This window comes from Homo sapiens, chromosome 10 (genome assembly GCF_000001405.40).
Source record: "Homo sapiens chromosome 10, GRCh38.p14 Primary Assembly".
Classification (NCBI taxonomy): domain Eukaryota; kingdom Metazoa; phylum Chordata; class Mammalia; order Primates; family Hominidae; genus Homo; species Homo sapiens.
The window spans coordinates 105,072,546-105,097,146 of record NC_000010.11 but is presented as its reverse complement, the minus strand read 5'-3'; the positions used below and the strand labels follow the sequence as shown (position 1 = coordinate 105,097,146).

Sequence of the window (24,601 nt, the reverse complement as noted above, 5' to 3'; positions counted from 1 at the left end):
GATCCAGAGTGTTGGAGTCAGCGTCAAAGTCAGAATTGTCAATGCCACACCACACAACTGAAAAAGCCATGCTCTGTGCTGCTTCTCTGGGGCTCCTTCAGTCTAGAGCAGCACCATCCAGTATATATTAAAAGAAAAAGCCACAAATGACCTTTTAAATTTTTCAGTAATCATGTTTTAAAAGTAAATAGAAAAGTGAAGTTCATTTATATGTTTTATTTAGCCCAAAATATTATCATTTCATCATATCATCAATATAAAAATTATCAAGGAACAATTTTTCATTCATAGTATAATAAATATTTGAAACCTGGTATGTATTTTATACTTAAAGCACAGCTTGATTTGGACAGCACATTTCAAGGACTCAATAACCACTGTGACTAAATGACTACCATAATGGACAGCACAGCTCTAGCATAACTTTCCCACACCCCATTTCTACCATCCCTTTGGATGGTGGAAACTCATCCAATTCATCCCACAAGATGAGGCTTAGCTATGGCCTCTTCTGTGCAGCCTTCGGTCACTCCTCAGCAGTTGCACAACCCTTCCTTTTGGTCCCCACAGCACTTTTTCCATGATACTTACAGCAGAATCTCCGTGGCCTTTAGCATAATGTGTTGCAACAATGATCTGTGTGCATATCTGCCTCTCCCATTAGCCTGTGAGCTACTTGGTGCTGATTGTGTCCTTTTTATCTGTATATACCCGGCAGCTCAGTGCAGTGCAGTGTTAATCAAAGTGCAGTCCCCAGGCCAGAAGCAGCAGCTGAGAGCTTGTCAGAAATGGGGAGTATATGTTTTAACAAGCTCTCCAGATGGTGCACATGCATGTTAAAGTTCAACCAGCTCAGATCTAGTGCGTTGGTTCTCAATCCTACATGTCCTAAAATCAGCAGGACAACTTTATAAAAGGCCAATGCCCAGGACCTTTCCCAGGAGATACTTCATTGATTGATTTGTGGTGGGGCCCAGGTAAGGGTGTGTGTGTGCCTGCTTGTTTGTTTGTGTCTGTGTGTGTGTGTGTGTGTGTGTGTGTGTATTTGTGAGGTGATTATAATGCTTGGTTTGAGGACCACTTGTCTTCTATACCTGAAGAGTGTTCCATTACAGAGGAGTGGATTGTGAACCAATGAACAAACATAAGAAAAGCACAAATTTCTATATTAATATTTGCGTAGATGCCAGTATCCCCATCTTACTCTGGGAACTACATAGAGCAATATTTAATTGATGTTTCATGAGCAGATCTTGCTTCTGTTCCCTGAATGAATAAATAAATCATTAATTCTGCTTCATTTTATAATTAGGAAAAAGGAACCTAGAGAGGTTTACTTGTTTCCCTGGATCACACAGCCTCTCAGTGGAAAAACCGGAATTAGAATTTAGGTGTCTACTCTCCACGTCTGCCTGTCTGTGAATAGCTAGAAGACCATATCTCTTTACTGCTCAAAAAGATAAACACAAATTGCAAACATGGCTCCCATGGAGATTGAGCAGAAAGAGTGGTACCTAATGGCTGCTGGTGCCCACACTTCAGCCAGGGCAGTGCAACCCTCTACCAGGGCTTGGAGAGTCATTCATTTCAACACCCTCCCCAGGCCCACCTATCTGCCTGGGCAGATAGTGCAGGCAGGCTTGGCAAGTCCGGTGTCATCAAGCAAGAAAAGACCTGGACGCAGTGCTGAGGGTACTGGATAAGTCTGTCTGCTCAGAGTACAGTCCCTGAGAAGCAGGGTACAGGATGTTACCTGACCTCATCACTGATGCTAGTCTCTGGTCTGCTCTACCACCACAGTCACAGTCTGCTCCTCCACCACTTGTCCGGGGCCACTAGACAAGCCACTTGACTTCTCCATTTCTCAGAATCATTCCTAAATTATGAGCCAAGTTAGTCTGGATCGGGGACCAGGGAAACAGAGCAAAAGCTGCCTTGTGCTCCAGAGATGGAGGCTGGGGTCTGAATGAGCTGAAATGAGTCCTAGCTTTTCATCTATCTCTTCCTGTATCTTAAATGTGAAACAAGCAGATAAAAGAGGCAGGTAGAACGGAAGGTGAAGTGACCAGAGATTGATTGGTACCATCCATATGTGAGACTGCAGCTGGGGGAAATATAATTGCTTCATGAAGCTTTATCATTATAAACAGGCAAGGATGGCCATAGATGGCTTGGTGTGCAGCATGAACTGTGGCTCAGGAAGCTACCTACCTGTTCCCTCATAGATCCTCTTCAACCCACCTTCACCAACCTATCTCCATTCATTCTTTTCCAGATTATAATTTACAGCCTTGCACATACCACCTCTCATGATTCTGGGAACTTGCAAGTTTCTTCTCTCTATCCAGAATGCTCAGATAATTTCCTACTAATCCCTAGTACCAAATCAAACATTCTGTTTCTGAGATGGTTCCCCTAACTTGCTTAGGTCATTAGTCTCAATCTCATTTATGATTCAACACAATATATTCCCAACTCCATTAAAGTCCTTGTCAGAGTGTGCTAGCAACATTCTAATACTTGTCCATCATTTGAATTGTCCATCATTCAAATACAAGTCTAGAAGCTCCTTGATGGTAAGGATGATATCACATTCACCTGTGTGTCCCCTCAGTGCACAGTATATATAGATTTTAAGTAGATGTTGATTGGGTAAAAGCATAAGTAAGCGAATGAATAAATGAATGAATGAGAAAAGCAGGAATTGCTATAGAACTAGAAGTCAGGAACTATGCCTCCTAGCTTTTATTAACCAAAAATATTAATTTTAGTATTTTTAATACAAACATATTTTTCAATGTACACACAGTGAGTTTTTGGCATAGAGTTCTGTAAGTTTGAACAGATATATAGACTTACGTAACCACCACCACAATCAGGTTACAGAACAATGACATCATCCTAAAAAATATTTCATGCAGCTTTTCATGTCAAATACTTTCCCCACTCTGGAAACCACCAGTAAATTCTCTATCTATATAGTTTGTCTTTCCCATAAGATCACATAAATGGAATAATACAGCATGTAACCTTTTGAGATTAGCTTATTTCACTCAACATAACACCTTTAAAATTCATGTGTTGTTTCAAATATGAGTAATACCGAGTAGCATCCTATGTTGTAGATGTGCCACAGCTTATTAATACATTCACTCATTCAAAGATATTTGTTTCCAGTTTTTGGTGATTATTAATAAATCTCTACAGACATTTGTGTACAGGTTTTAATGTGAATATAAATTTTTCATTTTTCTAGGCTGAATATATAGCAGAAGTGGGATTGCTGGGTTATAAGATGTGTATAACTTTATAACAAACTACCAAAATATCTTTTCAGAGTAGCTGTACCATTTTGCATCCCCACCAGCAATGTATGAGAGTTCTATTGCTTTACTTCTGTGCCAGCACTTGATATTGTCATTTTTGTTTATTTTGGTGATAACAATAGATATATAGTGATATATCACTATGGTTTTAATTTGCATTTCCCTAATGTCTAATAATGTTGAGCACTGTTTCATGTGTTTATTTGTAATCTTTATATTTTCTTTGCTAAATGATCTATTCAAACTTTTATTTAATGAGCTGTTTTTTATTGCTATGTTTTAAGCATTCTTTATATGTTCTGGCTACAAGTCCTTTCTTGGATATTGATTTGCATGTATTTTCTCCCAGTGTTTTAACAGTATCTTTTGAAGAGCAAAAGTTGTAAATTTTGATGAAGCTCAATTTATCAATTATTTATTTTATCAATTTTGCTGTTAGTGTAATTTTAAAAAACTCTGTCCATCCCAAGGTCATAAAAATTTTCCCCTATGTTTTCTTTTAAAAGTTTTATAAATCTATGTTTTATATTTAGATCTATGATCTATTTGGAGTTAAATTTTGTATAAGTTGTGAATCATTGTATAAGTTGTGAATCATAGGTTGAAGTTAATTTTCCCCCAGATTACTGCCCAATTGATCCAATACCATTGATTGAAAATAATATCCTTTCTACACCGAATGTGTTATATCCTGCAACCTTGCTCAACTCACATATTAGTTCTAGGAGATTTTCTTATGGATACCTTAGGATTTTCTACATAGGCAATCATGTCAATGAGAATAACAAGTTTTATTTTCTTCTTTGCAGTCTATATGAATTGTATTTCATTTTTCTTGCTTTATTGCACTGCCTAGGACTTTCAGCATAATGTTGAATAAAAGTGTTAAGAGTAAATATTCCTGCCATTTTACTGCTCTTCGGGGAGAAAGCATTCAGTATCTCATCATCAAGATGATGTTAATTTTAGGTTTTTTGTAGATGTCCTTTATCAGAAGTTTCCTTCTCACTAGTCCATTGGGAGGTTTTTGTTCTAACTTGCTTTTTTGTTTGTTTGTTTGTTTTTTCCTATCGCCAATTAGCTATGTGAATCTGGGCAAATTTGAGTTAAACTACCATGTCAGGAAAAACAGTAAATAAAACATTTTTGTATTTTTGATGATGCTCAAATGATGGTAGAGATGTGTGTGTGTGTGTGTGTGTGTGTGTGTGTTTGTGAATGCACAAGTGTGAGGGAGCACTCATTGCATACCACAAAGGAAAGGCATTATGCATTTTGTTAGGGTATGTAAATAAAACATGCCCAGACTAAGGCAGTTTTGCGATGTGTACTTTCTAAATAAAGTTGAGTTAGGGACAATTTACTAGATTGAAAAAGCATTATTTTAGCTATTAAAAATTGATTTTAAAAACCCTAGAATTCCAGTGGAGGATTTATAATGAAAAAATAAAATAAAATAAAAAACCTAGAAGATGGAACAGAACTAATATATTCTATACTTTAACCTAAGTACAGCACAAGACATTTATCTCTGTTATATTTCTGCCTGCCTTTATTCAATTATTGAATTCTGGCAATAGGCCAGAAACTGTTCTAAGTGTTTTGCATTTGTAATCTCATAAAATTTCACGGAAGTCCTGCACCATAGGCCTCATCCCAATTTGGACCAGAATTCTTGAACTTTCATAAAATAAATTTTAGCTTAATGTAAGAAACTACATTTTTTTAAAGAAGCTGTCCAGCATCAGAAAATAATGTGTCTTAAGCCTGAGCTCACGAAGCCTGAGAATGTACTGTTAGAGTTTTGGGAGAAGGGATTCCTACACCAGGTCAGAACTCAGACCATCCTCCAACTCTGAAATACCATGACCATGACAGATCACAAATATGGCCTAAACAGGTTGACTTAGGAGGCAAAACCCATGCGAGAGTTGTCCTGAAAACTGGCCTGTGGGTCATTTTCTGAGACTGGCTATTTGCTGTCCTCCTCCTGTCCTTCTATGCTCCCTGAAACCCCTACATCTCATTCTTCTCCCAGTTTCTTTCTCAGCCATAAGAATTGGATAATATAATTTTGAATCCAGGCTCCACCACCCTTATGATCAGTAATTTAAGTGTGTGACAGTATCTTCTTAAATTCCCAATAGCTCTTCAGTTAAAAAATACATTAAAAAGAGTGTAGGTCATCCCTGGCTGTCTCACCGATTTACATCTATTTAAGGATCCAATGAGATGAAAAGTAAGGAAGGAGGAAGGGAAGGAAGGAGGGAAGGAGGGAGGGAGGGAGGAAGGAAGGAAGGAACGAAGGAAGGAAGCAAGGAAGGAAGGAGGGAAGGAAGGAAGGAGGGAAGGAGGGAGGGAGGGAGGAAGGAAGGAACGAAGGAAGGAAGGAAGGAGGGAAGGAAGGAAGGAAGGAAGGAAGGAGGGAAGGAAGGAAGGAGGGAAGGAGGGAGGGAGGGAGGAAGGAAGGAAGGAACGAAGGAAGGAAGCAAGGAAGGAAGGAGGGAAGGAAGGAAGGAGGGAAGGAAGGAAGGAAGCAAGGAAGGAAGGAGGGAAGGAAGGAAGGAGGGAAGGAAGGAAGGAGGGAAGGAAGGAAGGAGGGAAGGAAGGAAGGAGGGAAGGAAGGAAGGAGGGATGAAGGAAGGAGGAAAGGAAGGGAAGGGAAGGGAAGGGGCAAGGAAAGGAAGGAGGGAAGGAGGGAGGGAGGGAAAAAGGGAGGGAGGACAGGAGGGAGGGAAGGAAGGAGGGAGGGAGGAGTACAGAGTGGCAGAAATATAGTAACAAATTCTGATTACCTTCTAACTCTTTTAAAAATAAAAATAAATCATATAAAACATATTCCCCCAAATGCACATTTCTGGCATGCATCTACGGTTGGCCTCCAACAGTAGATTTCTCCTGCAGAAAGCACATGCAGTTTTACTTAAACTCTGAACGATACCACAATGCCAACAGCCAGGTCAAAACAGAATCGCCTTCCATTTATACAACATTTTTCAGTTTCTCTAATATTCATCTTCTATTTGATTAACCTATAATCCTGGGAGGTGCTCCGGGCAAGGATGAGTATTCTCAGGTCACAGAGGGAGTTACAGCCCAGAGAGGTTAAGGAGTTTTTCCTGGTATCAAGGCCAGAGGGTAACAGAGCCGAGTACCCCAACTCACAGACAGGTGCTTGTTCTGCTGCACCTCTGCCTCACCACTAGTAGATTATTTGGCTCTGTTCTCAATCTATGCTAATTATATTTTTATATATTTTTGTTTAAGCTGATTTTATTTTTCCTGGATGGAGAAGAGCCCTTTAAGTATAAACAACTCTGAGAAGAATAAAATGCTTAAATTGTTACAAAATGATGCTTTTTCAGTCCAATTTTGTGTAAGAAGTACACAGCTGAACAAGGTACACAGCGGGTCATGTGTTTAAAATCCTGAAATTTCACTGCTAGAAGAGTCCCTTGTTTGTAGGGATAGTATAGAACTTGCTCATCACTTTCTCTCTCTCTAGGGCTTAAAATTATGTCTGACACTTAGCAGGCCATCCCTAAATATCTCGAATGGATGAATAAACAGTTTTGCAAATAATGCCCCATTACATTTTTTGGTAAGGTTGCCTATATAAAGGGTTCATACTTTGAAGCAGGCAGCCCTTGCAATTCGCCATGTGAATGTAAAATACCATGATGAGTTATGGACATTCCTCTTCAAATTACTCTGAAGATGCCAAAGAAATTACAAACAGGAGCCTCAAAATTCATTGCATTAACTCATATCCCCAGACAATTCATTCCCAAGAGTTTGTTTCAATGAAAAGTCTCCCTTAGGAAAGGACTTCTCACCCTTACTCTGGGAATTAAGGATGGATGTGGCTGTAATGGAGCTCAGAGCTTTTCATCTTCCCAAGATATTAAAATGCAAATTGGGGGAGGACAGAGACCTGCAGGCAGATCTCCCTGGGCCTAGCCTGGCTGTAGCAGAACTCACATCCATCCGTGGTCCGCACCTCCATGTGCACCAGGTCCGCCTCCTTATCCAATCCGGCCACCGACCTGGGAAAGGAAGGGAGAGACAGAAGCTCAGTGACAACACCGATAGCAGACAGCAAAGTGGGATGCACTCAGGGCCAACTGCTACTCAGAAATCCATTTTCTCAAAGAGGACCATCCTGCAGTATGGGAACCAGCAGAATGTGGCCACTGGCAGTCCCCACAGTGTGGCTGCTCCAAGGAACTGTCATCTGTAAGGGTCATGAGACATGAGTACTGAATGGTCAATAAGTCAACGATTCAAAGAAAATAGAGAAGAATACAGAGTGCATAGTCATGCTGGTCTACACCTTGCTCCTGGCCTTCTCCATCTTGCACCTTCCCAGAAGTTCTCCCTTCCCCAGTGTCTTCCATCTATCTCCTCTGTCTTAACTTTCTTGACTCCTTCCACCACTTCCTCCTCCTCTGCCCTCCCACTTTACCTGCCTGTTCTACCCGATGGGGAACACGGTATTGCCTCAGTTTGGGCTGTTTGCTTCAAGATATTCCTTCCTTCCTGAGTTTAATCCTAGGTCTCCTTCTTTATTCCTGCCTTGAAAATAACAGAAGTTTGGCAATAGACATTCAAAATCTGGTCTGACACGGACAAAATTCTCCTGGTGAGAAAGATGGAAAACCTTAAAGGTCTCTCTGGCCAACACCTAGAAGATGGAGGCCTGAGAATCCCTACAAACAATCCTCGTGGACCTCTGACCTTCCACACATAAAGCCCAGTCAGCTGTCTCCTAAATTAGAGACCTAGGCCAGAGTAAGGCCCAAAAAGTCCACTGAAAAGAGCTGACACACACATTAAAAACTCATTTACTAAAGATCACACAATCCACTCTCTCTGGCAAGCTCTTACTTATAGTCTAATGACTCAGAGTTTATACACTATTCTAAGATTTGTATTCTGGTTTTCCAGTCTTCAGCAGAGAAGCAGCAGCAAGTTAGAAATGGAAAGTAGAATTGAAAATGGTGAGACCCAAGAGCTGATACTTGGATAGCAAGAGAAATGGAAAACTTATGAAAAACAGACCTAAGAACTCAAAACCCAATCTTCCATGCCACAAATCCCTACACTTCTCAACAGCCCTGGGGGCATTACTGTAACACAGCACAGTTCAGTGCTGACATCTATGTTGCGGGGCTGAAGGCACAGAAGAAAAGAAACAGGGGCTGATGGCATCCAGGGTACTCTGTTTAAGAAATTAAGGCTGCAAGTGGTATGTTTTAGAAAAACTAAAATGATTTTTATTGGTTAAAATAAAATTATTACTTCGGCAGCAAGTGGTATGTTTTAGAAAAACTAAAATGATTTTTATTGGTTAAAATAAAATTATTACTTCTTGAAAGGTCGAAATTTAGTCATCTGAAAGTTCATTTATGTAAAACACTTCTTTCCCCAAAGAGGCTGAATAAATGAGGCTTTACTCTAATGGGTTATTTTTCCCAGTGATCATTGACATTCTATCGTTTCCTTTTTCTTTACCTCATTTTATCCTAACAGCAGACCCCTAAGGTAAGGAAAGCAGGCATCATTAGTCATGTTTGACTGAAGGAGAAATTGAGGCACAGAAAAAAATGGATGTCTGCCTAAGGCCACACAGGGACTAGGCCAAAATTAGAAAGACTTCCTGACTTCCAGCAGGAAGAGCTCCAACGTCCTTATCCACTCATCTCCCTGCCCCTCTCCTTCCCTAGTGAACTCTCATTCCTCTTTCCAAGCTCACTGGGCCTTGCCCCTCCAGCAGTCCTTCCTTCCCTAGTATCACTGCAGAGCCCTTTCCCTGCTCCCAAAGCATCCTTATCCCAGTGGTTCTCAGACTTTACTGCTAATGACAGCCCTGGGAGGTAACTCTGAAATATACAGATGCCTGTGTCCTCTTCGCCAGACCAATGAAATAAAAACTTTCACAGATGGGACCAAGGTGTCAGTATTTTTTAAAGGTCGCAGGTGATTTCCATGTGCAGCCATGTTTGAGGACCACTGCTTTGCACAGCACAATCAAATCATGTATGCAATTGCTAATTCATTTCTGTGTCTTCTCTATTTGGATATAAACTTTAAAGTGGGATCCTGTCTTATTTATTTTTGAACCATTGGGACCTATGTGTGTAGTACATATTAGGTGATACTGAAGTGTTTACTGAATTAATAAACAATCTGATCTACCTGTGTTAATGCCAAAATTTCAATGTAAAACACTTGAGGCCAGACACGCAGAGGACTGAGGGTACCACAAGGGACTATATGGATACTTTATTTGTTCTGAAGCCACCCGGTTTCTTTCTTTCTTTTTTTTTTTTTCCCAGAAGAGAAATGTCTCATTTTGTTAACCCAATGTATCCCAAATATATCTGACCACTGTAATATTTTTAGAATTTTTACTTTAAGTTCTGAGATACAGGTGCAGAATGCGCAGGTTTGTTACATAGGTATACCTGACTTCAAACCATACTACAAGGCTACAGTAACCAAACAACATGCTACTGGTACCTAAACAGATATATAGAACAATGGAACAGAAGAGAGGCCTCAGAAATAATACCACACATCTACATCCATCTGATCTTCAACAAACCTGACAAAAACAAGCAATGAGAAAGGATTCCCTATTTAATAAATTGTGCTGGGAAAACAGGCGAGCCACATGCAGAAAACAGAAACTGAACCCCTTCCTTACACCTTATACAAAAATTAACTCAAGATGGATTAAAGACTTAAACATAAAACCTAAAACCATAAAAACCCTAGAAGAAAGTCTAAGCAATACCATTCAGGACATAGGCATGGGCCAGGACATAGGCATGGGCAAAGACTTCATGACTAAAACACCAAAAGCAATTGCAACAAAAGCCCAAATTGACAAATGGGATCTAATTAACCTAAAGAGCTTCTACGCAGCAAAAGAAACTATCATCAGAGTGAACAGGCAACCTACAGAACGGGAGAAAAATTCTGCAATCTATCCATCTGACAAAGGTCTAATATCAAGAATCTACAAGCAACTCCCTGTTTCTTTATATCATGCTGGTACTCTCAGGATTAGAAGTTTCTCAGTTATTATTCTTCCATTCTCTCCCTAAGGTCACTGGCAGAGTAGCATTCAGAGAATTGGCACCATACTGACGAAGCCTGATTGTGGTCAATAAATACTATGCTATACTAAAAAGAAAGAAAAGTCTCTGCCTCTTGGGAGCTTAAAACAAGGCAACCAAACCAATAAAACATGCAAAGAAACTCTTCCCTCATCAGGAAGGCTTACTTCCTTCCACCTAGTTAAAATCTCACACATCTTTCAAGGTTGAAAGCAAGAATCAAGTCCTCCTGGAAGCCTTCCCTCGTCACCAGCTCACACTGATCTCTCTCCTTTATACTTCTAGAGAACCCAGAATGTAGATCACACATCCTCCAGCACTTGCATTATTAAGTTGTTCTCTTGAGTTGCTCTTGGCTCACTAGAGTGGACACCTGTGGTTTGGGTCTGCTCAGTACCCTTTCCTGTCATCCTTTATGGAGCTGTCTACCTGACTCCAGCTATGTGCTTTTGGCCAGGCTGGTCAATCACAGCAGCCCATGCCTCTGAAGCCCTGGAATGTCACGTGATCCAGTAGGGTCATGAGACATCTTGGCTATGGTGATCAGGTGATCACAACTTAGAAGACATCCTCAAGATTTCTCTTACTGAAGCTGTTAGGAAAGAATTGTCTCTCAAATCTTGTCACCAGGAGAAATATTCCTTGCCTGATAGGAATATCAGGTCTATAAAAACGATGTACATATACAGAGAGAAAAAAAAAATTGACAGTGTGACAGAGAAATAGAGAGAGAGGTGGTAATATGAAGACAATAGCCAAAAGACAGAGAGAAACAGAAACACACAGAGATAGAGAAAGAAACAGAGAGAGACAGAGACAGTTCATGCACATGTGTGCAGCTTCACACACATTCACCACCCTCCCCTCCCACACACACATACATCTAGAGAATCAGAGAGTCAGAGGTTCACACAAACAGGGAAATGCTCTAAGAGACAGACAGACCACTAGACACAGCTAAAGGTCCTTAAATCTGAATCCATTTCTTAGTTCCATCTCAGGTTTGCAGTTTCTTGATACATACAAGCCCATAGGGTGCCTTTGTTTGTGAAGGTGTGTGTATATTTATTTGCTTAAGCTATCAATTAGAAATAGAATGATTTTTATAAATATATGCAACTCACCAGACAGTAAACTTCCTAAGGCCAGAGACCCTAATTATCTTTCTTCAATATTTCTCCTGAGCTCCAGCACTGCTCAGGATTAGGCTCCCCTTTGGATGAAATGATAGGGGTAAGAGATTTGTACTTCAAAACTGCTCTGTCCCTAGGTCCACAGGGGAGGAAATGAAGCTGCTCAGCTGGCCAGAGGTATAGTAAAATAACTTGGCTGCTGAGGGTAGGAAGAACATTCTTCACCACAATCTGAGCTGTGGCCTGAGGCCCTCCTCCAGCCCACAGAGGGAAGCCGCCGCCCACCTTCTGCCATGTTGATGGCGTTAGCCTAGGGCTTTTCAATGTTGGCACTGTTGACATTTTGAGCTGGATAATTCTTTGTTGTGGAAGATGTCCTACTCATTCCAGAATATTCAGCAGCATCCCTGGCCTCTACCAGATGCAGTAACACTCTCACACAGTTGTGGCAACCAAAAATGTCTCTAGGGACTGCTAAATATCGCCTGGTGGGGATGGGTGGCAGAATCACACCCAGTTAAGAAGCACTGCCTTGGCCGGGCGCGGTGGCTCACGCCTGTAATCCCAGCACTTTGGGAGGCCGAGTCGGGCGGATCACGAGGTCAGGAGATCGAGACCATCCTGGCTAACATGGTGAAACCCCGTCTCTACTAAAAAAATACAAAAACAGCCAGGCATGGTGGTGGGCGCCTGTAGTCCCAGCTACTCGGGAGGCTAAGGCAGGAGAATGGCGTGAACCCGGGAGGTGGAGCTTGTAGTGAGCCGAGATGGCGCCACTGCACTTCAGCCTGGGCGACAGAGCGAGACTCCATCTCAAAAAAAAAAAAAAAGAAGAAGCAGCACTGCCTTAGCTGGACACGCTTAATTGCTGCTTGCACTCTGCGCCTCCCCTAGTAACAAGGCAGCACAAATAGGCATTCAAGAACTGCACTTCCTCACCTAACACAAACTGCTGAGAAGCCCATGAACTTATTGTTATTTAGAACCATAACAACTCACCAGGAAACTATCTGACATTCATTGGGTGTAAGCAATCAGGTCCCTCGTCTTAAAGTCCCAAGTCTCCACTTGTAGAAACTCAGTGCAAGGGAAGTACACACAAATACACCAAGCAAAGAAATACATGATGCAAACATTCAGAGTTTTCTTCTTTAAGGAAAAGTGGAAATCATAAGGGTTAAACTTGTGGAAATGTTTGGGAAAGTATATATAATAATGGTAATAAATGCTAATGGGTATTGAGACCATTCCTGTGTCAGGCATTGTGTTTGGTGTTTATAAGCATTATCTTCATTAATCCTCAAAATGAACTTTTAAGGAAGGTATCATTTATCTAATTTTTCTCTTCAGTAAAATGAGAATATCACATAATAACAATTCATTGATATTGAGAGTACACTATGTGTTAGCTATATTTAAAATGTAAATGTTGATTTTGTTTAATCCTCTCATCAACTCTATGAGTTAGGAATGATTTTTTCTCTACTTAAAAAGGCACAATTAGTCATAAGAGCTTAAACAACTTGCCCAAAGACATGTAGCCACGAAGCAACAAAACTCAGACTCAAACCAGGCAGGTGGCTTTGAGCCATAAGCTTAACTTCTCCTGTAAGCTGCCTCTCCTAGCTGGCGAAAAGAATGGGATTTGTGCCCATCCATCTCTCCTAGAGTAAGAATCATAAACATCATGCCTCATTGCCTCCCTTTCTCCAACATGTAAGTCCCTTTAAAGCAGCATTTAGGAAATACGAATGCATTCTGTATACATTTTCAATATTGCAGAAAATTTTGGTTCTAGACTACATGAACTGGAAGTCACTCATATTGAAGGTAATTGGTAAGAAGGAAAAGTTGAGAATAGAAAAAGGAGGTTGGGCCAACAGTAGAGGAGTAGTGACTGAAGATTTTTGCAAAGAAACCTTAAGAAGGATTAAACATGGCTGAAGAAAAGAAAACTTGGGGCTTGGGCTTCACTTTTTTGAGGTCTGTGATGATAGAATGAGGTGAGGCATGTGTAAGAGGGTCCGTGACATTGCCACAGGTATTAGGGAGGGGAGGAGAGGCATGCCTGCTCAGATATGCCAAGCAGGTTAATAATTGCCCCTGGCACCTCTTCCCTCTCAAGCATCCAAGTTCCTTCACATTTCTAGGACCAAATTTAGGCCAGGATAGACCAGAAGGCCATGAGCAGTATTCAGTGCAGAACTAGCCTCAGGACACATAAAGCTCCCTGTGCTTAATGTCTGCAAAAGAGTAAAGATGAATTTTCAAGCATCCTATTAAAACTGCCTGAAAAAAAAAACTCCTAGAAAGTTTCTAGAAAGCATCAGATAGTAAAGATAAATTGTTTCAGTATATATTATTATTGCTAATGTAAACAAGTAATCAATAATGCCTTTATTTGAGTATGCTGTATTCCTACTTTTAATTAAATGACTATAAAACAAAATTTTATAGGACAAAATAAATATGTGAAGATCAGGTATGAATTTATGAAAATCCTATGAACATTTAAAAAGTTCATAGGCCGGGCGTGGTGGCTCATGCCTGTAATCCCAGCACTTTGGGAGCACTTTGGGAGGCCAAGGCGGGCAGATCACGAGGTCAGGAGTTTGAGACCAGCCTGACCAACATGATGAAACCCTGTCTCTACTAAAAATACAAAATTAGCCGGGTGTGGTGGTGTGTACATGTAATCCCAGCTACTCAGGAGGCTGAGGCAGGAGAATCACTTGAACCTCGGAGGCAGGGGTTGCAGTGAGCCAAGATCGCACCATTGCACTCCAGCCTGGGTGACAGGGTGAGACTCTGTCTAAAAATAAATAAATAATTTAAAAAAATTACTCAATCATGAATTCTACCACAGGGATTTTCTGAAGACTAACATTAATGACTGGGGAAAAACTAACGTTTTCCAGTAGATTTTTCCAGTCTTCTTCAAGAAGGGAACTAGGATCAGGCCCTCTGTGTAAACTCTTCATCACATGTGTGCAAATAATGATTTTTAGTTTCCACATCTATAAAATGGAAGTTCATAATACCTACTTCATAGAGTTAGAAGAATTAAAATGAGCTAAGTAGTAATCCTTGAGAACAGTGTCTGACACATATAATGCAGTCGTTACATTTTAGCTATGACAATATTATTTTCTATTTGAAGGACGGATAAACTAATATACTTTCCTGCCTGTCTTCTTCCCCCAGCTCCCCGACTGATACTTCTACATTTGTTAAGTAACTAGTAATGGTAGTGTTTTTCAAGGCACTAGATATAAGAAGCCCCTGCTACTAAGAAGTTCAGTTTAGGCACCTTCTCCCTCTCTAGATTGAGTGTACATCACAAATCCTTGGAACCAACTCTTCACAAGGCTCCTGTAACAATCTGGTCTCCTCCCCAGTGGAGAAATCTTTGTACTGAGTTGAAATTACCTTTATTCCTCCTTATTAGACACAATGCTTGACCTCACAGGCTTTCACTGGATAGTGTATCAATTGATCCTATTATAGCACTTGGCACATGGTAGATCATCAGTAAATATTTGTTGAATGAACGGTTATAATACTTTCATTCTGTTAGATAAACTTCATAAGCATGGTGTTTGCATCTCAAAGACAAACTGTCTTATGGCCTAAAGAGGTCTCACTTTCCTGCCTGTGTCCCATGTCATGTTTACCTTGTAGATTGTTCGCCTTCCTGAGGGTATTGTCATTAATTGGATAACAATTAATGAGCTCAATAATAGCATAAGAATCATCTGAAAATCTCCATAATTGGGAGCCCTTCTGAGTTCTGACCAAAGACCAAGAAAGGATGCAGGGAACAAAAGGAAATAGGAAGCCACAGCCAAAACTCCAGGGAAGAAATGGAATCAGCTCCTAGAACCACAGACTCACAGGTGCTACTAACAGAAGTGCCAGAAAAGGTCAAGTGGCTTCAAACTTATTTTTAGCAACTTAACCCTTTGTGCAAACAGTCTCCAAATCCTACCATATAAAATAGGTCAGACAGGAACTTCTTGGGAACCATAACCGCTCACCCAGCCACGACAGTCCTCAAGAGAGCTGGACGCTACAACCTCAGAAACATCACAATCCTGTCCAACCCCATTCATGCCATAGACCAGAAACCAACCCTTTGCAAAGACACAGCTAGAGCTTGTGTCAGTGGCCCTAGAATCCAACTTGGAACATTAGTACCAGCCTCTTCATAACACACTTAGCTCTTGGTCTTGGAAGGGGGTGGCAGGACCAAGATCCTTTGTGTTTTTCTTCTTTGTGAGTATTATTTCCAGGGCAAAAACTTCCCCAGGAATTAAAAACACTGAATATTGGGGTATGCATGAGGGAAATATTAAGGGTAAAATACTGATAAGGTCAAAGTATGAATGCTTTATAAACTGATTAGCTAGATTTTAAATTTAAAAATGATAATTTTATTAATATTATTTTAACCGACAAATCATAGTTGTATACATTTACGGGGTACAATGTGAAGTTTTGATATACTGTATGTATATGCTGTAGAATGATTAAGTCAAGTTAATTAACATATCCATTACCTCATTTATTTGTCATCTTTTGTGGTAAATAAATTTGAAATATACTTTATAATTTTGAAATATACAATACACCATTTGTTGAACAGGGAGTCCTTTTCCCAATGCTTGTTTTTGTCAGCTTCATTGAAGATCAGGTAGTTGTAGATGTGTGGCCTCATTTCCATGCTCTCTATTCTGTTTCATTGGTCTATGTCTGTTTTTGTACCAGTATCATGCTGTTTTGGTGCTGGGATAACTGGCTAGCCAAATGCAGAAGATTGAAACTGGACCCCTTCCTTATATCATACACAAAAATCAACTCAAGATGGATTAAAGACTTAAATGTAAAACCCAAAACTATAAAAAAAAATCCTGGAAGACAATCTAGGAAATATAATTCTGGACATAGGAACTGGAAGATTTCACAATGAAGATGCCAAAAGCAATTGCAACAAAAGCAGAAAATGACAAATGGAATCTAATTAAACTAAAGAGCTTCTGCACAGCAAAAAATCTATCAATAGAATAAACAGACAACCTACAGAATGGGAGAAAATATTTGCAAACTATGCATCTGACAAAAGTCCAGCATCTACAAGGAACTTAAATTTACAAGAAAAAAAAACATTAAAAAGTGGGCAAAAGACATGAACAGATACTTTTCAAAAGAAGATATATATGTGGCCAGCAAGCATATGAAAAACAGCTCAACATCATTGATCATTAGAGAAATGCAAATCAGAACCACTGTGAGATACCATCTCATGCCAGTCAGAATGATGATTATTAAAAAGTCAAAAAATAATAGATGCTGGTGAGGTTGAGGTGAAAATAGAATACCTATGCACGTTGGTATGAGTGTAAATTAGTTCAGCTGCTGTGGGAAGTAGTGTGGTGATTCCTCAAAGAGCTAGAAACAGAACTACCTTTTGAAACAGTAATCCAATTTGTGGGTATATACCCAAAGGAATATAAATCATTCTATCATAAAGACACATGCGCGTGAATGTTCATTGCAGCACTATTCACAATAGCAAAGATATGGAATCAACCTAAATGCCCATCAATGGGAGACTGGATAAAGAAAATATGGTACATATACACCATGGTACACCATGCAGCCATAAAAAAGAACAAGATCAGGTCCTTTGCAAGAACATGGATGGAGCTAGAGGTAATTCTTCTTAGCAAACTAATGCAACAACAGAAAAACAAATGCCACATGTTCTCACTTCTAAGTGGGAGCTAAATGACACAAAGAGGGGAACAACAAACACTGGGGCCTACCAGAGGGTGGAGAGTGGGAGGAAGGAGAGGAGCAGAAAATATAACTATAGGGTACTCGGCTTAGTATCTGAGTGACAAAATAATCTGTACATCAAACCCCCATGACATGAGTTTACCTATAAAACAACCCTGCACATGTACCCCTGAACCAAACATAAAAGTTTAAAAAAATAAAGGCACATTGAGACCAATTAAAAAAGAAATATACAATATGTTACTATTGACTATCATCACCCTGCCGTATCTCAAGATATTTCCCCAATTCACATCACAAACTTTCTCCTCCTTTATGTCTTTGTTCAAGCTGCCTTTCCACCTGAAATATTCATTCTAGTCCACTCTACATATTCCCTGCTTATGGCCCAGCTCAATATTTAGCTTCTGTGAAAGCTCATGACCCGGGCTGAATATTAGTATCACTTGAGGAACTTTCCAAAAATATTAAATACAAATGCATAGGCCCTACTTCCAGAAATCCTGGAGTAATTGGTCTGGAGCAATAGTCCTCTCATTCTGATTCTGATTGTAGCAGCTAGCATCAGAATCTTCTGGTGGGCTTGTTGGAACACCGATGCTGGGCTCCACCCTCAGAGTTTCTGATTCTGGAGGTCTGGGTGGGGCCCAAGAATTTTAAGAAATACATAGATGACATGATGATGATGGTCAAGATTCACACTTTGAGAATCATTAACCAGGAGTCAAGTCCAGGAATCAATAGCTTTTAGATGCTCTTGGGTGATAGGAATGTGAAGTCAGAGCTGAGAATCATTTATTAGAGCCCAAGATACAATCTCAGACTGTAACAGGTGCTCCTTTTCACAGATCACTAATGCAGCTCAGAGCATAAATTCCAGAGCCAGACCCTGGGTTAGAGTCTTGGCTCCATCACTCAGTCACTGGGGGATTCTAGGCAATTTGCTTAACTTTTCTATGCCTCAAATTTTTTCATCGGCACAATGGGGAGGTAATAATGGCACCCTTGTCATTGTTTTTATGAGAACTAATTGATTAAATGTATGTAAAACATTTGGAAGAAAGAGAGGCACATGTTAACACTTTGCAGTATGTAACACTTAGTATGATAGTGCTCAAAATATCGTAAGTGCAACTAATATTTATAGAACACCTTTAACGTACCAAGAATTTTACTATTAATTTAGATATATGACCTCAATCTTTAAACAAACTTTGAGATAGTAATATAATCTTTTTTTCTTTTTTTTCAGATGAGGAAATGGAGATTTTGAAATTTCCAGTTGTGTAACTATTGACACAGAGTGAGAAAGAGAGATGGAGCCTGGATTCAAGCATAGTCTATCTCACGCCACCTTTAGTTATTTGTACACCTGATTTTTGTCTCCTTCTTGATTTCATTCTTCTTAAAGACAGGCTCTAGATCTGACTAAATTGCATTTTCTTCTAGTGCCTAGCACCGTGCCTCCCTGTGCATTTCTTAAATATCTGTTAAGTAGCTGAATAAATACATGAATGGGAACAATAACCCCAGCAGTATGTTTAGGATAAATGTTGAAAAGAGTCCCATAATATGGTGAAACAGATTTCATTCATTTAATTAATCTCTAGGCAATTAACTGAATAAAGTCTTCATTTTATATTATTATGCTGCTATTTTCACCATTTATCCTCAAAGCAATATTGGAGCTGTCAAACACAGTCATCTGTGATTTGCTTGACAAATGTGATCGTCCTGTGAAAACGCTAGGGCAGCAAGAACTCAGGGATCTCATCCAGCTCAAATGAACACGGCTTCTCTCGTGGGCACTTTGGAAGATTTCCTCCCAAATTATAGATATTCCCCCTGCCTCTGTCAACTGCTCCCTAGCCCCAGATTCACAGATTTTTAGGTGCAGACACTGACACCCATGTCTGTACCATGAGGTCCTGCCTCTTGTCAACAGCTGAGTAGATCAGGCTACACCCACACACCAAGCTGCATCAAAGAATTCTTTTCCCAGACATTAGGATTGGTTTACGAGACCATAACATGAGACTTGAAGCAATTAGTCTTGGATATCTTAAGCTGGTCTTCCAGATAGAAGAGCGAAGCAGAGACAAGAGACAAAAAGAGATCACTCTGTGAGGTCCTAGGATAGGGTTCTGCCTAAAGTCTAACTATATGTATTTATTACTTGGATCCTAATACCATCCCTCTGTGTGTGTGTGTGTGTGTGTGTGTGTGTGTGTGTGTGTGTGTGTTTAATTTAGTCAGTTTCGTGCAACCAGAGAGTCATTACCGATACACCCCCTAGGAAGTTGCTCAGAATATGCACGATCTTAATGACACCTGGATAGTTATTGCCCCTTCATCCTTCTGGTTTCCCCAGCAAATTAAAAAGTTCACTGCCTAGATTAGTGTTCTTCAAACCATAGGGTTGGGACTTATTAGTGGGTCATGAAATACACTTAGTGAATCACAACACAAATAATGTTTCATAAAATAGAAGAGACTGGAATAGAAAATATTAGAGTGCATCTCATGTGGTAGACTAAGTACTTTTCATGTAACTTTTGCTTACATGATAAAAACACATAAGTTTATATTGGGTCACAAATATGACACAATTCCTACTAGGAAAGAAGGAAGGGTGGAAAACTATATGGTCTAATTTAATCTGATATCTTTATACATTCTATATGGCTGGAACCAAATGCAGCAGCCACATGAAATATTTTCAGGGCAAAGCATATGCATGTCAAGAGGCCAATCCCCACGGGTAGAGAAATTCAATTTGATTAAAGAATCTCAGTGAACTGTAGCCACCACCATGTCATATGCTGGCAGTAGCCATTTTAAATGGAGATTTGGTCCCTGGGATTTTATGATTGTGTTAAAGTAGTGAAAATCCACGAAAATTTACCTAAAGACAGCTGGACAACTGCTCTACTAGGAATAGGACAAACAGTCGCTTGGCAAATACCTACTGAATACCTACTGTGTGTAAGCACTCTGGGAACTGTTACACAGCCTACCACATGGCCCATTTGTTTACAGCATATGTGTGAGTTACAGCCTAGCATAGCTCCAACGAACAGTTCCACAAAGGGTTGGGGCTTCAAAAGTGGGTATAAAAGAGAGGAACATCTACATGAGGCACAAATCGTCCTGCTGGCCCACCAGTTGGCCCTGTGTCTCCTAAAGCAAGTACTTCCCGAGGGCTGCCTGTGCACCCAGCATGGAGTCCAGTGATGATGTGAAGGTCAGGAGGCCAGGGTGGATGGTGGGGTTGGTAAAGTGGAGAGTATGCAAGTTGAGAGAGAAACAGGTTTATAAAGGCCATAGAGACGACTTAAAGGAAAACAATTAGGAATGAACAAAAATCTCACCGCCCTGCAATTCTCAGTCTCAAGCTCAGGATAACAGGGTACTTGTGGAGATTTCACTTACACACTGGGCATCATTTCTAACTCACGTGCATTTTTAGACAAAAGTTCGTCTCTTCTATAGTCCAGTGGTTCAGAGAGGAGCTTTGGTATCATAGGTCCTAGATTCTAATCTCAACTCTACATTTATTAATTGTGTTACCTTGGGCAAGTTATAGTTAACCTCTCTGAACCTTCAAATTGATATAACAATCAAAAATCTTCCTGATTTGGTCTTGGAAATGATGAAATGAAATGATGCAAGAACACATTAATGAACATGTACACCAGGTTCCAAGCACTTTATGGAACATACAGAGACACACAGGCACACATGTGCACACACACTCATTTCCACACTTCCTGATTATGTAGAAAGTGACTAATAAAAACTTGTGTTGGAACGTAATGGAAAGAGCACTGGACTGGTATAAAGACCTTGATTCTGACCACGTTCATACTGACCAGCTGTGTAGTTTTGACTAAGTTACTGATCTCTTTGGGTACAGTCTCTTCCTCTGCAAATTGAAGAGGTTGCTGGGGCTGGGAGCTTTAAGGAGACTAGGGATCCCTTCCCTCTGTGGTCTCTGGTGTTCAGTGACTCCACAGCTCAGGAGGAAGGGGGCATTATGATTTTCCCCTCTGCACTGACAGCTGTTACACTGTTGATTGTTAGAAAGCCTCCTGTTCTGCTCCACCCCTTCTCGCCCCCCTTCTTTATAGGGAAACTAATGAAGCAAGTATATTAAAAGGAAAAGGAATTTCCTGCTGGTGAGGTCCCCAAGGTGTCACTCCCCATCAGCAAGGACCACACCCATTAGGAGAGGGCTTCTGTGAACATCCCTGTGCTGCCAGAACCCACCTGCACCTACCCCTAAGCAGGGACCAGAGGATGGAACAGGGAGGGCATGGGCAGATGAAGGAGCTGCTGGGATCAATGCATAGGAGCTCCCAGCACTTGGTATTTCACAGAGCATGTTCACATTATCTAATGTTAATAGCCTTCATCTTAGGAGGTAGACATCATTGCTCCCATTCCACAGATGAGCAAACTCAGAAAGCTGAGTCACTTAAGATCCTAAGCCAGGTGAAGGCAGAGCTGAGACTCACCCTGGGCTCTGCTGACTGAGTCAGTGCTCTCCTTTCAGTAATGTGGGCTTTCCATGCTACCTCTCAGATGAGCCACCATGCCACATGTAATTAGATGCAAGATTATGTGGTACTGACTGGAAGTGCTGGAGGAATTCGGGGAGTTAATTATAAAAAGGCAAAGGGCATTAAGGAGACAGCTTGGGAGGATGGGAGGATGTTTTGTGGAAGTTCTGGAGAAGAAAGAAAAAGGAACCAGGTGTATTTATAGGCTAATAATGTGCAGAAGGGGGAAAAATGTGCTGCCTTGGGCAATTTTCATCAAGTTAATGGATGTTGCCAATTACTGTGGTAACATTTTTAATTGTATCTCAGCTCTGAAGAGAATAAAATCAGAATTTCCTAGTCTTTGCCTCGGGACTGCTAGGGGCATGCATTTTGGTACATGATATTGGTGTAGACAGACCTGACCAGAGTCTACACTGACAGCCCACTTCCTGGGAAAGCCTTACTTACAGCTATCCCAGACCCAGACTGAGGTTGGAATCAATGGTAGAAAATGGGCATCTGCTTTACGGGTTCATAGTATAAGTGGGAAGACAACAGGGAAGAGGTTGTAACCATATGGGGACCCCCAGGAAGAAGACAATAACCATAGTAGCCCCAAGGGTAATGTAACGATAGCTAGAGATTTGTGCACTATCTTATGAGAGACATGTTCCTGCGACAACATAATGCTCTGTGTGTGTTATCTCACTGAATTCATGATTTGAATACTGCCTGCCTCCCCTCTAGACTACACGTTTCTTGAAGGGAGGAATCTTGGCTGCTGTGCCCACCATGATAACTTCACCTCCTAGCACGAAACTGGCACTCAATTATATTGTTGAACAAATGATCAAAATTCCGACAAGGAATGTACTATGTTTGTCTGCATTTTATCAATGAGAGACTAGAGACTCAGATGAGCTAGGGACTTGTCTAAGTCACCGCAGCTGATAAATGACAGCTCCCAATTCAAACACAGCTCACACGGACTTGGCTCCACAGCACATCTGGTGATGCACCGTGCAGGCTTGTCTGGACAAGACAAAAAGAGAGCAAAGAAAATGCCTGGCATGTATGAATGACCTACTCTGTGGCAGGCACCTTATTTCTTTATATCATTTAATGTGAAGAAGTAACCTATAAAGTATGTATTTCCCACAAGTTGAAAATGTGGAAAATGAGGTCTTTACTGAAGGACAGTTTAAGTGATTTTCCCAAGATTCCTCAGGCAGCAGAGGAAAAGTGGGAGGATTGAAATGATTCCACAACCTAACCTCAGGAGACTTCCCTTTACTTCATGGCTTCTCGGACAGTTACACACACACAGATCAAACTGCATCCTGAAATCACAAAACACTGAGGGAAAGAAAATAAACGTCTGTGGTTCCCTGTTCCTTCAAACAAATCCTTTAGCGACCACCTGGGAACAAACTGTGACACGAGTAATTCTTTTCTGATGCCACACCCCCACCCAGTCCGAGGTACCAGCTCCCCTGGCAGAACTCTTCCCTCTGACCTCTACATCCAGTGGCTCCATGCTTCTCACCCCCATGCCTCCCACGCTCATGCCTCCACTCCCTGCCCCAGAACTGAAGATAGTTCCCCACTTAGGACTGCCCTTGCTGCCTAACATTCTGTGCTCTAAAATCAACTACCAGTAGCCTCATGGAAAGGCCCAAGCCCACAGCCAAAAACAGCCCAAGGAAAGAAGTGGAATAAATAAAAAGATCTTCAGCAACAAGCAAGGGCATCTTGGGTGGGGCTGCAGAGCACACCAGCATTAATCAGTTAGATCCTCTACGTGTGTACCAGACTGAACACCCTGTGTCCAGCGTCATTCTCTAAGCAGGAGAAACAAGGGTGAAATATCCCCTTCGCCTAGGCCTGGAAGGGGTCACAATCTAAGTGAACATAGGTATCCAAATCCCCCTGCAAGATCTCCGCACCTGGAACCTGCACATAGAGCTCATGTCACAAGCCCAGTCTTCCTGGTGTAGAAAGCTAAACCTGGCTGATCTGAACAACAGCCAGCTCCAATTAATCATCACTGGTCCTTTCCTGTCTCTTCCTCAGTGTGACCTTGTTCAGTACATTTTATTATGAGGTAGTAACACCGTATAGTAGGGTAAAGTATGTAGTTCACACAGAGAGAACTGGGTTTAAATCCTGGCCCCACTACCCAATAGCTATATGACCTTGACATGCTTCCAACCTCTCTGGGCCTCAGAATCCTTGTCTCTGAAGAGGGAATAACAGCAATATTTACCTCGCAGGGTTATGGTGAAAGTTAAACCAGATAATACTGTGACACCCTTAGCATAGGCTTAGGAGTACTCACTACGTGCCTGCCATCAGTGTTTGTGGTCTTCCCAAGGGATCATCAGTCCTTGATCCCAATTATTGTCATGTATCCTCAACCCCATTTTGCCTGCATAAATCCTGCTGTAGACACATCATCTGGCTACGGGGGGAAACAGGCAAAATTGCCAGATCCTATTTACACACAAGGCTATTTAATCTACCTCCTCACCACCAAAAAAAAAAAAAAAAAAAAAAAAAAAGAGAGAGAGAGAAAGAAAGAAAAGGTTTCCTCCTAAGCCCCAGCACATTCCAGTGGCAATATGTGAAAAAATCTAGGCCCTGGAAAACAGGGCAAAATGAGCATGCATAGCACA

The 24,601-nt window shown here is 40.9% G+C and overlaps 1 protein-coding gene across 2 annotated transcripts in view; it reads right to left on the bottom strand.

Moving 5' to 3' along the window:
- Nucleotides 1-24,601, bottom strand: part of SORCS3 (sortilin related VPS10 domain containing receptor 3) — a 623,953-nt gene that overhangs the window by 168,096 nt on the left and 431,256 nt on the right. Inside the window, exons 1-2 of one of the 2 annotated variants that reach the window (XM_011539542.2) lie at nucleotides 10,573-10,578; nucleotides 7,308-7,372 (exon numbers count right to left, since the gene is read on the bottom strand). In XM_011539542.2, coding sequence (XP_011537844.1) covers nucleotides 7,308-7,332 — 25 coding nt within the window. In that variant the 5' untranslated portion in view covers nucleotides 7,333-7,372; nucleotides 10,573-10,578. Of the gene's footprint in view, nucleotides 1-7,307; nucleotides 7,373-10,572; nucleotides 10,579-24,601 lie in introns of those variants that run through there. The other variant, NM_014978.3, reaches the window with a different exon arrangement.